General features: G+C 36.6%; 1 protein-coding gene across 5 annotated transcripts in view; it reads right to left on the bottom strand.

Annotated features, from left to right (window-relative positions):
- The window catches only part of TDRD7 (tudor domain containing 7), an 84,030-nt gene that overhangs the window by 52,412 nt on the left and 14,595 nt on the right, over positions 1-17,023 (bottom strand). For 3 of the 5 annotated variants that reach the window (NM_014290.3, XM_047423113.1, XM_047423111.1), the window contains exons 2-6: positions 15,042-15,254; positions 12,640-12,781; positions 11,476-11,689; positions 4,396-4,469; positions 1,839-2,056 (exon numbers count right to left, since the gene is read on the bottom strand). In NM_014290.3, coding sequence (NP_055105.2) covers positions 1,839-2,056; positions 4,396-4,469; positions 11,476-11,689; positions 12,640-12,781; positions 15,042-15,248 — 855 coding nt within the window. In that variant the 5' untranslated portion in view covers positions 15,249-15,254. Of the gene's footprint in view, positions 1-1,838; positions 2,057-4,395; positions 4,470-11,475; positions 11,690-12,639; positions 12,782-15,041; positions 15,255-17,023 lie in introns of those variants that run through there. The other 2 variants (NM_001302884.2, XM_047423114.1) reach the window with 2 other exon arrangements.

The raw sequence follows: 17,023 nt of genomic DNA, 5'->3' as shown, positions 1-17,023 counted from the left end.
AACTCATAAAGTTCTATGGATTTAAACCATAAAGGAGCCATATGCATTTCAAGAAGGGGCCACAGGCCCTGAACCTTCAAACTGAACAGCCTAATGAGACTTCTAAGGGAATACCTCAATGTCACTAAACCTGCATCGAGTGAGGAAAATTCTTCCCAGAATGGAGTATAAATGGAAAAAACTGAACTGAAAAAAACTGGAAAAAACTGAACTGAACTGAAAAAGTAACCCTGGGAATTTCCATTAGGAGAACTAACCCTATATTCCACATAAATCAGAGGTCACATTCTTACGAATATTAATTGTTCTTGAGTTTATTAGTAGGGAAACAGAGCCATATTTCCAGAGTTTAACATTCCTTATTTTCCCACCTTAGACTGTATATTCTAACATTTGTCACATTGTCCTAATCATTTTTTTCCCTATTTCCCTCACTACACTCCAAGTGTCTTCATCGTCTTTGTTCTTAAAACACCTAAGGCAAAAATTAGCACATGCAAGTGCACAGTAAATAGTATATGAGCAAATGGGATGGATGAATGATTGAATGACACCAGTCTCTAAGAGGCCACAGACTCAAGTGGAGGAAAAAGTGGTTACAAAAACACATGTTTTCGGCCAGGCATGGTGGCTCATGCCTGTAATCCCAGCACTTTGGGAGGCCGAGGTGGGCGGATCACCTGAGGTCAGGAATTCGAGACTCCAGCCTGGCCAACATGGTGAAACCCTGTCTCTACTAAATACACAAATATTAGCTGGGCGTAGTGGCTAACGCCCATAGCCCCATTTACTCGGAAGGCTGAGGCAGGAGAACCACCTGAACCCTGGAGGCGAAGGTTGCAGTGAGCCAAGATCGTTCCACTGTACTCAGCCTGGGTGACAAAAAGTGAAACTCCGTCTCAAAAAAAGAAAAAAAAAAAATACATGCTTTCTTTAGGCCAGGTGCTTATAAAGAGGGAATGCCCTACACTGCCCAACAGGCTTGGGGGCCAAAATATATGTTAAAGAAATAAAAGCCCTCTACCAAAGCATACATAATCCTCATGCATATTTAATTCTACAAGCCTAGAAGCATCGAGTAGCTGTTAATGTGACCATTTAAAAGTTATGTTTTAAATATATCTTATGTAAGCAAAACCACTAAGAAACATCTAAAAGTTAGTTACTTTGGTGTAAGAATCCAGTTGTCTCTACTTCTGGCTGAACTAAGATCTTTAATAAACTATGCTGATCCATAATCTTATAATCACAGACTCTGAAGTAGGAATAGAAATGGAAATTGATAAATCATTTTTAAATTTTTTTTCTAATTTCCAATTTTCTCTCTAAAGATAGCTTGTAAAAATTATAATATAAACACTATTATTAATTTCAAAATAAAAATTAAGAACTCTATATAATTAGTCAAAATAACTAAAATTTGCTCAGCTACAAGTCTTTAAAAATGCTCAAGAGTGAGCAAATAAAATTTGAGGCTAATAAAACAATTCTTCCCAATAAGTTCAGATTTATTAAAATGGCAAAGCTATCAGTGTTTACTGGTAACAGTTCAATCATTATAAAATGGTTTACATATTATCACATATTAAATGCATTTTAAAAATGACATAAAACAAAATATATAAAAATAGCAATTACAACACAGGAGAACCTTCAACTTTGACATACTTCTATAAATAAGAACTGACATATGTTAATCTTAAGAGATAAAGATTAATGAGGTAACATATGTAAAGTGCTTTGTCTTCTGGGGATAAAAGGTGATATGACTAATAACTCAAGATCTCAAAGTTGGGCAGGGAGGAGGTATCAGAAGGGAGGAATAAGGAAAAACATACCGTGCAAATATGAGGCCAGTGTTCAAACTGTTGTAAAATTCCTTGATTAAGGTCTTCTTTATATAACTCTTTGTAAAAATGTGGAAGCTTAGATATCCAAATGCCATTGTTATGCTTGTTTAGTATTTCCTTTATGCGATTTTGAACCTCATCCATTTTATAAGTGTAAGAGGCAGGAGGCTTGACATTGGGTTTTTCAACAGTCTGATTTAAATTATCTTTAAATTAAAAAAATAATAGAATTAACCAAAATGCTTAACATTTTAGATTATCCCCATTACCTAATATTTGCATCTTCAGGTTTTGCTATAGTGTGGGCTTGTGGTAGCCAAAGGACTTAGAAGGGAGCAGGATTAGGCAGAGCAGCACCGTGACAACTTCATTCTAAGTTTTAACCCTGAAATAACCAGCAGTGTTTCTTGTGGGTCAAGAAACACCCAAAGAGGGAACCTAGTCCCTTTATTTTGCAAGGATGCTTCATAGTTTAAACATCAAGATGATCTTGCTACATAAAGAATAATTAAATTATTTAACCAACCGTTTTCTACCTGCTGAGGAAGATTGCATTTTATATATTAGTTTACAGACAATACTGAATTTAAAGCTATATTCCACAGAACATAGGAATAATTCCTTAACAGATCAAATAACTTTTTGATCTTATACTAGTTTTGTAGAAGATAAAAAATTGCCTGAGTTTGAATATTATGATCAATTTTCACCTTTATTAATGGAAAACAAATAATTTAGCAACACACAAAAGTTAAAAAATTGATCCATCTATAATCATCATCATCCTAGCCTCAGTTTATAAACATAAAAGGTTTGGAACCCACAGATAACTTTTATTTCCCCAATATCAATCATTTATCTTTCATAAGTGTGTATTTATAAAGTTTTGGCTTTATAGCTATTTTGCATTTCGTTTTTACTTAAAACTTAGAATGTGAGAGTTAATATCCCCAGAAAATAAAGAAATCTGAGTGTTTACTATAGCTGACAGTCCTGGAATTTTAAGAACTATGAAATTTATTCCAAATCTCTACGAAATTTCACTGAGATACAGATCTGAGTATATTAAATATTACCATCTATATGCAAAATATATGCATATTTTAAGCAGATAGTATCTCTGCTGGGATTCAGTAATTTTTAATTTGCAGGTAGAGACAGTCTGATTTGGGGATGCTGCCTCTGAGAATGCCAGGAAGCCCAGAGTGAGCTATTCCTTGAGGACACTTGGACGCTGACTCTGCTCTTCCATCAAAGGGCAGGATCTGGCCTTGCTAAGTCTTAGATTGGCACAGAGAAGAGAAGGCTCCAGGATATCCACATATATTTCCTATTAAGGGTATAGCTAATTTATTTAAGTTCTTCCCAAATAATGATATAAAAGGACTGGGAAGGAGGAAAAGATTAAGTTTCTCATAACTGGCCAGACCTTCCCATAATGAGAATGTGTCAGCAGCTGACCGACAGCTGTGTCTGCAAATGCACTTGCTCTGTGGGGCCACTGGGGCCATCTAAGTCCCTGCACCTTTTGTTAAACAAATTAAAGTAGTAATGGAGGTGTCCATCATGTAGGAGAGGTTGTGTACACATGTGTGCCTATCAGCTCTGCCAGGTGAACTGCAATCCTCCTGAAATAAGTCCTCTTGTTTCTGTAGAAGTAGTTTATACTAATTTAAGCTTCTAAAAGGATATTCAACTTTGCCATGTAGTCATGTTTCAGAAAATGCCTATGTAAAAGTAATTCATGTAAACAAAAATCATATTGTTCAATTAATTTCCATTAAGAAATACTGGAGATGTGTTCTTATAAAAAAAAAAGCATTTCAACTAAGTAAGAATCACACTTAAAGCAGCAAATAATGTAAAATCACATTTACATTTCACACACTATAAGCACTGATACGAAAACACTGTCTCCCTGGGTGGGTCTATGAGCAGGGGATTTACACATTGGTTGGAGAAGAAAAGATAACAAGTGGTTGCATTTCTAACCTTCAGATTCTTTGACTTATACTATGTCTCCTATTGTTTTCCTAACAGCCCACTTGGATTCTATTACCCAAAGAATTATTTATATTCATATTTAGATGATTAGTGGTAACTGTACACAGTTTAGGGTGCTAGCTTTTAAGTGGTGGAGTATCTGAAACTCTTTTATAAATTTAAGTCCCATATTTATGCACTTTTAATCCACAGCAGATGTTTCCTTTATGTGAGGCCTCAGCCTCTGAAGTCTCAGGGGTGCACCCCCTAAGAGGTGAGAGAGTAAGGGACACAAGCATCTCTGCAGGCCACACATAGAGGTGACACAGAGTAGGGCTGGGGTGAGGAAGGCCTCAAGTCAGTGTTTAGATAATGATATCTTTGGGAGGCACCATTTTCTCTTAAGATCACTTTGATTCATGATGCAAAGCAATTAGGAAAAAGGGGAGGAAGGATATATTCCAAACAGGAGAAGGTGAGAGCAAATGTCAAAAGCCACCACCAGATATGTTTCTTGACTCCGGAAGCCAATATGTATCTCAAAAATGTTTGGAAAACATACCACTCATTTCCTTAGTAGAGGTTCTTGAGAGATGCATCTGCAAAGGTGGTTGAAGGGACGCCTTTGGGCTAAACCTAAGATATTAAAAAAAAAAAAAGTAAAATAAATGTAAATAACAAAGTCTATACCAAGTTTTAAACACTACACTTTTCATTTAAAGTCTCAGTGGCATTTAACAGCAAAACAAGTCATTAAAATAATTTAAAATCAGAAAAAATAAAAATAAAACCTGGCATCATCTTTCATGTTTCATATTCACTCAGAGAAAAGTATGTTAAAAGCTAAATTTAAACTAGGTCTTTGAAAGCCTCTTTCAAAACTTGGATGTCAGAATTCCAATTAATCACTTATAAGAAACTGGTAAAACAGAATAAAGAAGACCATGCAAAAATAAACAGTTGGAAACAAAGAACATTTTGGAATATAACCAAAAAATGAAGGACTTGCATCACCAGATGTTGAAATGCATTATGAAGTTACAACACTTAAATGAGTTGTACAGACAGGTAAAATGGTAGAGAACTTAGAAACATGCAATTTGCATTATATCTTGGTACATAATGAAAGTGGCATTTCAAAACAGACAGGTGAGGGACTGGTCAAATAACTATTTGAAAAAAAGAAATAGATCCCTACCTCATACCCTCACTAAAAATAAATTTTATATAAATTATACTGGATATATGTAGGAAGATTTTTCCAAATATGAAGACACATAAATAAACCCCACACACATCATTTATATTCATGTCTGTTTCCCACACTAGACTCTAAGTGTCTTAATTGTTTGTGTTCCCAAGTGCCTGGGGCAGAGCTTGATACATGCAAGGCAAATGAATATTGTAAGAATGACTGAATGAATCATGACCGAATGAATAAATGACTACAACCTGCCCAGCAGTGGGTACGGGACTATAGTGAGTGATAGTGACATGGTACACATAGCTGCCAGTTTTTGAATAGTATGGAACAGTCTAAAAATTAGATCAATTCCTTGAAATGAAGCACATTTTCTTATAAAATTTTAATTCTAAAAGAAATGATTAGGTTCTAGGCTACCAATAAAAACTTATTTGGTATATGCAATTATAAGATCATCCTATTTCTATATTAATATATCTGTGTAATAGCAGAAGATGCCAAAAATATATCCAACTCCTATTTTGCAGAACTGGTAGGGAGATAGTACTCCTTCCCGCACACCAGCCCAAAACATGTAAACTGGAAGCTTCCCCTGCTTTAAACAAGCATCGAAGGCTCCAGTAGAAGGTAGAGGGATATGAGCAAAGAGTGAGTACACAGAAACTATGGAAGGGACTGTTATGGTTCAGTCATCAAGAGGTCTACTGGAGAGGAAAGAAAAAAGTGTATATAGCAAAAGAAAGCTCTTCAAAGAAAACTGCTAGGATGCATGAAAAACAGACATAATAAAATAAGATGACAGAGGTCTAAGCAGTTTTATAACACTAAGAATAAAATATATTGTCTCTTAAAAGACAAAGAGTTAGACTGGTCCAGAAAAAAACCTTCCAAATCTAAACATATGTTGTTTATTAGAGACATATTTATAGCTCATAAATATTTAAGACATACTATGTGCCAGACATTATGTCAGACAGTAACTGTCAATGATCAGCAAGATAAACATGCCCTATTCTCTGGGACTACACGGTATAGTTGAGAAACGGACCGTGGTAAGTAGCTGCTGAGATAACCCCAAAGATTCTTCCCTCCAGGTATTCACAGCCTTGTGTAATCCCTTCCCCTTGAGTAACCTGCTTCTAATCAATAGAAGACTTCAAGGCTGAAGGGATCACAAATAACTAGATTACAGAAGATTCTAATTTCAACTTTGCTAGTATAATCTCTCCTTTGTTGCTTTGATGAAGCAAATGGCCATGTTGGGAAGAACCATGTGGCAAGAAACTGAAGATGGCCTTTGGCCAATAGCCACCTAGGGACTAATGAACAACTCAGAAGGAAGTACACTGTGCCAATAACCATGTGAGTAGGACTGAAAGCAGATTTATCTTTAACTGAGCCTTCAGATAAGATCCCAGCCATGGCTGACACCTTGACAGCAGCCTCATGAGAGACCCTGAAGCAGAGGACCCAGCTTGACCGTGTCTTCCTTCCTGACCCACAGAAACTATGAGGTAAGAAAATGTGTCTTGTTGTAAGCTAATAACTTTGGGGTAATCTGTAACACAGCAATAGATAATTAATGCATTGACAAAATCTAAGAACAAAGTCTACTAAGTGTTATGATAAGGGCAGTAGGTATAATAAAAGCACACAATGGAACTAATAAACCAAATTAGGAGATAGAGGAGGAAGTAGAGAGTAAAGGTTATTAGCACTTATTATGAAGTTATAATAATGTGAATAGCCTGGTACTGCAGAATAGGGAGGTAATCAATTATTCTGAATGGAAAGCCCAGGAACTGAACCATATGTTTATAAGGCTTTAGTACTGGTAAAGATAGAATTACAAACCAGCAGAGAAAGAAAGGATTGTGTAATGACTGATACAGGACATCTGGCTAACAATAAAAAAGGATTCCAACTCTCACACTATAAAATAAAATAAATTCTGGATGAATTAAAGACTAAAATGTAAAAAATGAAGCCACAACAATTACAAAAGAAAACAGAAGACATATTACATAATATTGAGTGGAAATGCTTTTCTAAACATAATACCTAAAAGCAGAAGTCACATAGTAAAAGATCGATAGCTATAAGCATGCAACATTTTAAAGTTTTTGTATACAAAAAATACAATAATTAAACAAACTGAGGGAATACTGTCAAGATATTACAAAGGGCCAACTTATTTAATTTATAAACCACTTTTATATGTTAGAAGGAAAAGAGCCAATAGAAAAATTATGTAAAGGACAAAGACATGTAATTCACATAAGACCTATAATGGGCTAAAAAATATATGACAAAAATGTAACTCCCTTAAGAATCAAAATCAGGGAAATAAAAATTAAAACATAAATAGATTTTTTTCACTTTTCAAAGTAGCAAAGCAAAAAACAGATGCCCAATATTGGCAGGCATACAAGAAAATAATCACTCTCATATTCTTCTAGAAGAAAACAAATTATTATAATCTGTTTAGAGAACAATTTAATAGGAGCCTTAGTACATATACCCTCTTCCCCACACATTTTATCTCTACTAATTTATTCTACAGGAAACTAGCCATGCCATTTTTCTAGAACTTTTCAATTTGTTAACAGGCAGGCATGAGTTCTTAACCGGAACTCTTGAGAATGAGCTTTGGGGGTTCATGAATCTACTGACTGGCACGAGATTATGTATGCATATGTAAATGTACATGTGTGAATTTTTCTGGGAAGATCATTTACAGCTTTCATCAGCTTTTCAAGAGGTTTGGTGACCTCAAAAAGTTTAAGTGTCCTTCATAACAGGTTTAACTGCTTTTTACTACATTAATATTTCATAAGTAGATATAGATGTTTCTGCTATTGTTCCATTTTGATATTTTGATTTTATAACTAGAAATGTTACCCATAACATCTGCCACTGGGTAGTATTTAGATTTCTCTTAAAAGATATCTTTCAAATACTATGTGCTTAAAAAAAGACTTGATTAAAATGTTTTACAACATCTCAAGCAGTCTTTAATTAAAATATGTAGCTTTTTTTTTTTAAGAGGGTCTTACCCTGTCACCCAGGCTTGAGTGCAGTGGTGTGATTATAACTCACTGTACCCTGGAACTCTCAGGCTCAAGTGATCTTCCCACCTCAATCTCTCAAGCAGCTGAGACTACAGGTGCACACCACCATGTCCAGGTAATTTTTTTTTTTTTTTTTTTAGTAGAGATGAGGTCTCACCATGTTGCCCAGGCTGTTCTTGTACTCCTGGTCTCAAGAGATCCTCCTGCGTCAGCCTCCTAAAGTGTTGGAATTACAGGCATGAGCCATGGTGCCTGGCCTGCTGTCAATTTGAAAACTTTTTATTCTGAAATACCTATAAATTCATGGGAAATTTCAAAAAGTGTACTTAGAGGTCCCATGTGTCCTTCACTGTTTCCCCTAATAGTAAAATCTTGCATAGTACATATCAAAACCAGAATATTGGCAATAGTACAATTCAGAGCTTATTCAGATTTCCAGTTGCATATGGATGTGTGTGTGTAGTTCTGTGCAATTTACCACACGTACAGATTCACGTGCCCACCAGTACAATCAACATACAGAACTGTCCCATGGCTACAAGGGTTCCTCTTGCTCTCTCTTTATAGCCATACCCATCCCTCAAATCACCCAAATCCTTAACCTCTGGCAACCACTAATCTGTTATCTATCTTTATAATTTTATAATTTCAAGAATGTTATATAAATAAAATCACACAGTATGTCGCTTTTTGAGATTGGCTTCTTTCACTCAGCATGATTCCCTTGAGATCCATCAGAGTTGCTCTGTGTATCAATAGTTCATTACTCCTTTTTACTGTGGAGACATATTCTGTGTACAGTTTGTTGAACCATTCACTTACCAAAGGATGTCTGGGTTGTTTCTATTTTTTGGCTAATATAAATAAAGTTATAGTGAACATAAGTGGACAGGTTTTTGTGTTAACATAAGTTTTCATTTCTCTGAGATAAATGTCCAGGAGCGCAACTGCTGGGCCCTATTATAGTTGCATGCTTTTAGTTGACAAGAAAAAATTGTATATATTTATGGTATGCAATATGATGTGATATTTTGATACGTGTACACTGTGGAATGGCTAAATCAAGCTGCTTAACACATGCATTACTTCACATGCTTATTTTTTGTGGTAAGAACACTTAAAATCTACTCTTAGCAATTTGCAAGTACACAATATATCATTAACTATAGTCACCATGAAATACAACAGATGTATTGAACCTATTTCTCCTAACTGAAATTGTGTACGTCCACAACCCCCATCCTAACCCCACGTCCCTGCCTTTGGTAACTGCCATTTTACTGTTTCTATGAGTTTGACTTTTTTAGATTCCACATATAAGATAATGTGGTGTTTCTTTCTATGCCCAGCTTATTTCACTTAACATAATGTCTCCCAGGTTCATCCATGTTGTTGCAAATGACAGGATTTCCTCCTTTATAAAGGCTGAAGAGTAAGTATTCCATTCAGTAGATACAACGCATATTCTTTATCCATTCATTCATTAATGGACACTTCAGTTGATTCCATGCCTTGGCTATTGTGAATGCTGCTGCAATGAACATGGGCGTGCAGATACCTCTTCAACTGATATACGGATTTCATAGCCTTTGAATATATACCTAGTAGTGGGATTGCTGACAGTTCTTTTTAAGTTTTTGAGAAATCTCCATACCGTTTTCCATAATAGCTGTACTAACCTACATTTCCCCCAGCAGTGTATTGGGGTTCCCCTTTTCTCCACATCCTTACCAGCACTTGTTATTTTCTGCGTTTTGATAGTAGCCATACTACATACTACTGGGTGGGAAGTGGTATCTCATTGTGGTTTTAATTTGCATTTCCCTAATGATTTGTGATGTTGAGCATTTTTCCATATACTTGTTGATCATTTGTATGTCTTCTATTGAGAAATGTCTGTTCAGGTCCTTTGCTCGTTTTTAAAATTAGGTTGTTTTCTTGCTATTGAGTTGAGTTCTCTATATTTTGAATATTAAGCCCTTATCAGGTATATGGTTTGCAATATTTTCTCCCATTCCATAGCTTGTCTTTTCACTCTGTTGACTGTTTCCTCGGTGGTGCAGAAGCTTTTTAGCTTGATGTAATCCCATTTGTCTATTTTTGCTTTTGTTGCCCGTCCTTTTAGGGTCACATCCAAAAAAATCATTCAAAATGTATTGCTGAAATGTAGGCACACAACCAGAGAATACCTCTGTCACATACTGGATTCAACTAGCACTTTGGGTCAAGATCTGTGTTTTAACTATGTATTTTCTAGACCTTATAAAAATTATAATAATTATAAATAATATTAAATGTATACCATTATAAAAATATTTAGGGTTACTTTATTAAAAATTCTGTAATATAAAAAATTAGTACCAACTCTACCTAACTTTTTTAAAAAATTAATTCTTCATAAATATTCTAGTATCTGGGGGAAAGTTCCTGGGGGGAAATTATCTTTCACAAAACAGAATTTTTGAACACTGATTTAAAGGAATATAATACAACAAAATTTGTTTTGAAAAGGCACAAGTAGGACAGAAGAATGTGATCTTGATGCATCTACATCAGGGGTCAGCAACCTTTTTCTGTAAAGGGTCCACCAGTGGATTTTTGGCTTTGTAGGCCATCTAGTCTCTGTACAACTACTCACTTCTGCCACTATTTTGCAAAAGCACCCAGAGGCATATGCAAACAAAGCAAAATGGCCATGTTCTAATAAAACTTAATTTACCAAAACAGGCTGTGGGCTTGATGTAGTCCATCGATTGTAGTTTGCCACCCTCTGAGCTACCTTATAAAACCATAGTTTTGAACCAGAAAGGAACTTTGAGATCATCTCGTTTAACATTTTCTTTGGACAAATGAACAAACCACAGACCCAAAAGATGAAACAACTTAATTTACCTGACTAGTGAATGGCAGCACCCAAACAAAGACTTATAGGTTGTCTTATTATTGCCAGTCTGGTATTCTGATGCATGGATGTCTGATGCTACTACATAATCATGGGCATGATATTTGCAGCACAGTGGAGTGTCTGAAACTCCATCAGATTTTACTTAAACCCACAAAATCGTTAAAAAAAGGTTTTCTGAAAAAGTTATAAGTTATACTGAAACAGTATCTCAAAACAATTTGTGAGAGCTTTTAAATGAACTTTACAAGGAGAGATTGACAATACAGAGAAAATATAGAATAGAGATGCACTTAGAGAATGATGTTCAGGCAGCTAGAAGTGAACTTAACTGGTAATGATGCATGTCTCTACTATATGTGAACTTAGATAAAATAGAAAGTGTTTCTTTCTTAACCTGAACATACATTTGTAACACTTTTTACCCTAGATTCACCAAACTTCTGTGAGTCAGAGGCCAAATACCTGTTGTTGGTGGACATGGTCACATGCCTTTGCACTGGAATGTCTTTGAATGCTTCATTTCCAAGAGTTGTGTGTAGCATATAAGGAGACATTTCAGCATCAGGCTTAACTCCAACAGAGTTTCCTTTGTCTCTTAACGGTGCTGGATTAGGTTTTTTGCCAACAGAAAAATTTGAAGCAAATCCTGGTTGTCTGAGGGTTGCTTTTGGTTTTCCTATGAAGTTAGGCATACATAACGAAATCAATTAGCATCCCCAAACCCCACTTTCATTATGACACTCCCCTGACCAGATGTTTTCTGTGGGTGTCTATTCTCAGAACAGTTTGTAAGAACACGAGGAGGTTGCCACTGGAGGGCTGGTCAACAGGGAAAGAATAGATTGGTGAGTATTTGGCAGATAAGGTTCTTCATCCATCAGACTGGCCAGTAACTCCTGCTTCTCACCAACTGAACACTTCAGTGGCAGCCACCTCATGTTCTTGCAAATACAGCACACTCAGCTATATCTTGGTCCTCCCGTCTCTTCCCCATAAATCCAAATTCTACCCATTGTTTGCGGTCTGGGGTCAAGTCTCCCCTTTGCCTTTTTCATTCAAAATGATTGCTCCCTTGTCCTAAATGCTCTCTGTGGCATTTAGTCATCTACTGCTTTGTATTATCATTGAACCACTTCATGGGAATTTAGTTTTAGAACTGATTGTAAGATCCTTGAGATAAGTGTTCGGTAAACAAAGGCTGAGTTGTCTATAACATTTCTCTGTACTACATAATTCATATATTTCTGAAACTAGAGGTTTTCTACCAGAAGACATAATTTGTCAAATAAGACATAAAATCATAGGTTCTTGGTGCAGCCAACATTCTGGACAAGACATTCCCTGAAATGAGCTTAAAAAAAATAAAACTACACACTACCGTAACAAGCTCAATTAAAATCTGTTCTGAGTTATTTCCCACTGTGTAATTACTTCACTTAGTAAGTCATGCTCAGCGCATTCACTTAAGAATTTCAAATGGAAATGCTAGCTTCAGGATCTTTCCCCTGACATATGTATGTTAACAGATACAAGTATTTATCATAATACAAACAATATTTCCATAATTCCCTATGATAATGTATTCGTAGACAGCCCTAAAAATTTTAGCATGTAAAAAGCTCCTACCTTCTAGAAAAAATGGCATGGTTTTCTTCACTCTCATCTGACAATTAACTTGACGCCCGGTTTTCCTTTTAGAACTCCTTTGACGAGCCACAAGCTGAGCAATTCTTGCAGTTTCTGTGCAGGCCATGGCATAGCAGGTAATCTATTCATTAGAGGCAGGGTAAGAGGAGAAACATTTCTCAGATTCCGTGTTGCCTAGAGGCCAGTTCTTAAAAGTGGATCTTAGTGAGCCTACATATCCCAAGTCAAGTGGTATGCAAATATTCATGTGTCTCGCTCCTTGATAATGCTAGAAGAAAATTATATTTTCTGCAAGAGGAATCTGGCATAGTCTAGTACATTGAATTATCTTTCCTAAACTGAAAATTCCATTTATTTTTAAATAGGTATTAAGCATCTACAGTGTACTAGATACTATGAGATTACCAAATGAACAAAAAGCAACCTATGATCTGATGTATAATATCATATAATCTGTGAGGTACATTTCATTCACACTTTACACATGGGAATGCAGAGGCTCGGGAAAGTTAAGCAACCTTCCAAGTCACATGGCGAGGCTCTTTGAGTCCAAAGTATGTACTCATAACTACTATGTTGAATACAAGACTACTAAATCCTTCTCTTGCCTCTGTGATGGATCTGCTGGGTGACTCTGGGCAAATCTAAGTATTCTCAGCTGTAAAACAGGGGTGGTTTAGACCTGGTGTTTTCAAACTGTGTTCATGGGAGCCATAGAGTTCTATGGAGAGGCCTCAAGGGGCTGCTACTGGCAGGGGCATGAGAGCAAGGCAGGGCAAGCAGGGTCTCCGGAGCTTCCACATCTCTCAAAACACTGTAGCTCAGCTCTGTATCTTTAAAGAAAAAATTGGTATGATATGATATCGAAAAAAGATTTGAAGATAGAGACTACTGGGACAAGATGCTCTCTACAGACCTGTGTAGTTTTCAAGTCTTTGACTCTAATTTGAAATCAAAAACAGGAAAACAATGAGGCTTTATGTCACAAGCTAAAATATGTTCCTACTCTTTGGCCCAGTATTTCTATTTCTGAGACTATATTACAAGAACATAATTTAAAAAAACAAATGTTACCTACCCAAGTATGAGCAACGGGGGTATTTTAATAGTCAAAACCTGGAAACATTTAAAATGTCCAAAACAGGGGAACAAAGAGTTGAGTAAATTACAGTATAGTAACTCTATAAAGCATTAATTTATTAATTCATTCAGCTATTCATTCATTCATGCATTCAACACAGATTTATTAAGCCCTTCATCCTTAATAAACTTATGGAGGAAAAAGAGAGAAGCAAGAAATTAAACAGAAAACATTGTGTCAAGTGTGATAACGGATGTATTACAAGGTGCAAGTAGACAGAAAGGAGGGCTTAAGTCTGTCTGGAACGATCAGGGATGCCAAAGCATATTTTATTATTCATATAACATTTAATTAATTTATATCTTCTCCTTAGGAAAATTATTAACTACAAGGTGAACTTCCCCTTTGACTACTTTCCTGCTCCTGGTTCCCTTGTCCTCCTCCACCACTGCCTCCTCATCCCCCCATATAGAAAAACCACTATGTCAGGTTTTGGTGAGAAACACTCCAGACCTGATCCACATATTTACACATGTAGAAACATACCCAGGAAACCATAGTGTATGAGGGGGTGTGGGTGTTTTTGTTTCTCTTTTGGTTGGTGGTCTGTCCATATCTATTATGCTGTACAATGGGTAGGTACCAAGAAGTGAAGCTGCTAGGTCGCAGTGGAAGAGCAATGACAGATCAACCGGCTACCACTAAATGGCCTATACTATCTATAAACTGTGTTCTTCCAGAGAGGCAGAAGGATTTAAAACGGTATAATGATATGATCATATTGGTGTGAAGGAGAGGAAAAGAACAGAAGAGAAGACACAACAGCAAGGAGGCCCCGGTAGTTATGAAAAGTGATGAAGGATCAGCTCTGGACTGACTAGGTCCAGATAGCAGGAATTGACTTGATGAGAATTTAAAACTGTCTATTAGATTTGGTGATCACAAGGTCATTAGTGACTTTGGCAAAAACATTTGTAACAGGTCTGTAATAGGCAGGTGTGATATTTATGCACTTAAGGCCTCCAGTACAACTATTTTGTTTAGATGTTGACATTGGGTAAATATTTTTAATTTTGTGTGGTTAAAATCTTATTTTTACAATGAAAAGAATTTGAGGAATAAGAAAAAGACATAAGAATGTAGGCTGTGCTTTACATGCTGTTTTCTCTGTCACTACCAATCCCAAACAACTAAGCTAGTACTTTCACTTAGACGTCTATCACAGGTAGGAGATTGGAAGTGCCAGAGAGGCAATTATGAATTGGTTTGATTCTTCTGACACGCACAATTACCTTCTTACCTCTCCAGATCTACTAGTCTCTATCCTGACCACTGCTGGCACACTTCTCAGATAGGCTTCTAGTGTAGGGAAACCTAGCTGTTTGAAGGGGATCCAGTCTCCAGTCAAGGATCTGTACTCTCCTTGGAGCCGGGGTAATGCTACTCCATTCTTATGAGACTGCAGAACAGCTCGTAGCATCTTTGAAACCAGATCTCCTTCCAGCATCTTTGCCTATAAGAACACAGTAGAAGGTTACTATAATATGGCTCATTCGTTTGTGAATTCAAATAGATTTTCAGAGCTGAAACTTGTTACTTTATAAATTATTACTGCATACTTTCTGTGCAATTACAATATGGGGAAACAACTGCCACGGTAGAGAAAAGCACAAATACCATAAGAATGCAGGGGAAAGTCAGAAGGCACAAGACCAGCCTGAAGAGGGAATATATCAGGGAATGTTCCCAGATTCAGGCGGGGAAGCCTGAATGGAGTCCTGAAGAGCAAGATGGAATCACCTAACAAGGAGGAAGAGGGTGGGCTGTGGGGCTGGGAGTGGTATCAGCCCAAGGAAGGGAACAGGATGTGCGAGTGCACAGAGGTGAGAGAGAAGCACATGGTGTGTTCCAAAAATTCCAGACAGTTAGGTGGCTGGACGTGACTGAACAAAGACTCCAAGCTGAGGGCTCAGAGGGCCAGGGAGGGGCAGACCCTGAGACTACTATATTATGCTCATGTTTGCATTTTTGCCAAAAGTAACGGGGGCCTTAGGGATATTTTAAATAGGGGAAAAAAATGATCAGCTCTGTATTTTAGAAAGATCACTACTCAGCAATGGAGAAGATAAATGGGAAGGAGAAAGATTAACAAGTTTTCAGAATACTTGGAAATGTGGAGGACCACAATACAGGGCCTTAGGAATAAATAAAAAAATCAATTTGAGAGGTAATTAGGAGGTGGAATCAGCAGGAATTGATTAATTGGTTTGGATGAAGAGGTGGGCTCCAATGTTTCCAGCTTAGAAGTAAGGTAGAGAGTAATGACCCACATTGAGGTGGGATAAAGGCAGGTTTGCAAGAGAGGAAGAGGCCAATTCATTTTGGACACGGAGAAGTTGGAATGCTTATAGAACAGCCATGCAGATATATTCACTAGGAAATTAGGTTAGAAGTCTAAGCTGGTCACAGATTTGTTGGTCTTTGACTTATATGGGGTACTTGACATCCAGGGAGTAAAAAACAAGGTTACAGATGGACCTCTGCAGAAGGCTACCATTCAAGAAATGGATAGAGGAAGACGAACCTATAAAAGGCTAAGAAAAAGGGACTAGAGAGATGGAAGAAAAAGAAGCAGAGTCATAATGCCATATGAATAAAAGGAGGAAAGAATCATTTCCTTTGGACTAATGATTACATCTAGTTGTAGTTTTGCAGAGAAAAAAAAAGACAAATTCAGGAGATACATTCAGAGAATGTATAGATACATACTAGGAGATACATTCAGAGAATAAGTAGCCTGGAAAAAATGGCTTACCCTTTTATTAAAGGAAAGAGGAAGGCAAACCATGGGCAATTTGTTACTTTTCCTTCAACAGTGATGTTCAATAGAACTTTCTGTGATGTTTTATATTATTGCAATGTCCACAATGTCCACATATGGCTCTGAGCACTTAAAATATGGCCAGGATGACTGAGGAACTAAAATTTTACCTTAAATTAAATGTGGCCACTGGCTACCATACTGGACAGCGGAGAATTCTAGACAAATAGCCATTTTCTTTCTCTGGCTTAGAAAACACAAAAGAAGAATGACATACAATTCTATCAATTCCATCATTCGTCCATCTTAAAAAGAAAACAAAATATCAGCCTGTTTGTCCTGCTATTAATTATAAACATAATATTGAAGTTACAGCAAGGTTTCAATAGCAAACAAAAATCTACATAGTCATGTGCCACTTAACAGTGTTTTAGTCAACAACGGACTGCATATATAAAAGA

The sequence above is a fragment of the Homo sapiens genome, chromosome 9 (assembly GCF_000001405.40).
Source record: "Homo sapiens chromosome 9, GRCh38.p14 Primary Assembly".
NCBI classification, from domain to species: Eukaryota; Metazoa; Chordata; class Mammalia; order Primates; family Hominidae; genus Homo; species Homo sapiens.
Note: the sequence above shows the minus strand (reverse complement) of the source record. Positions and strands in the feature narration are given on the sequence as shown.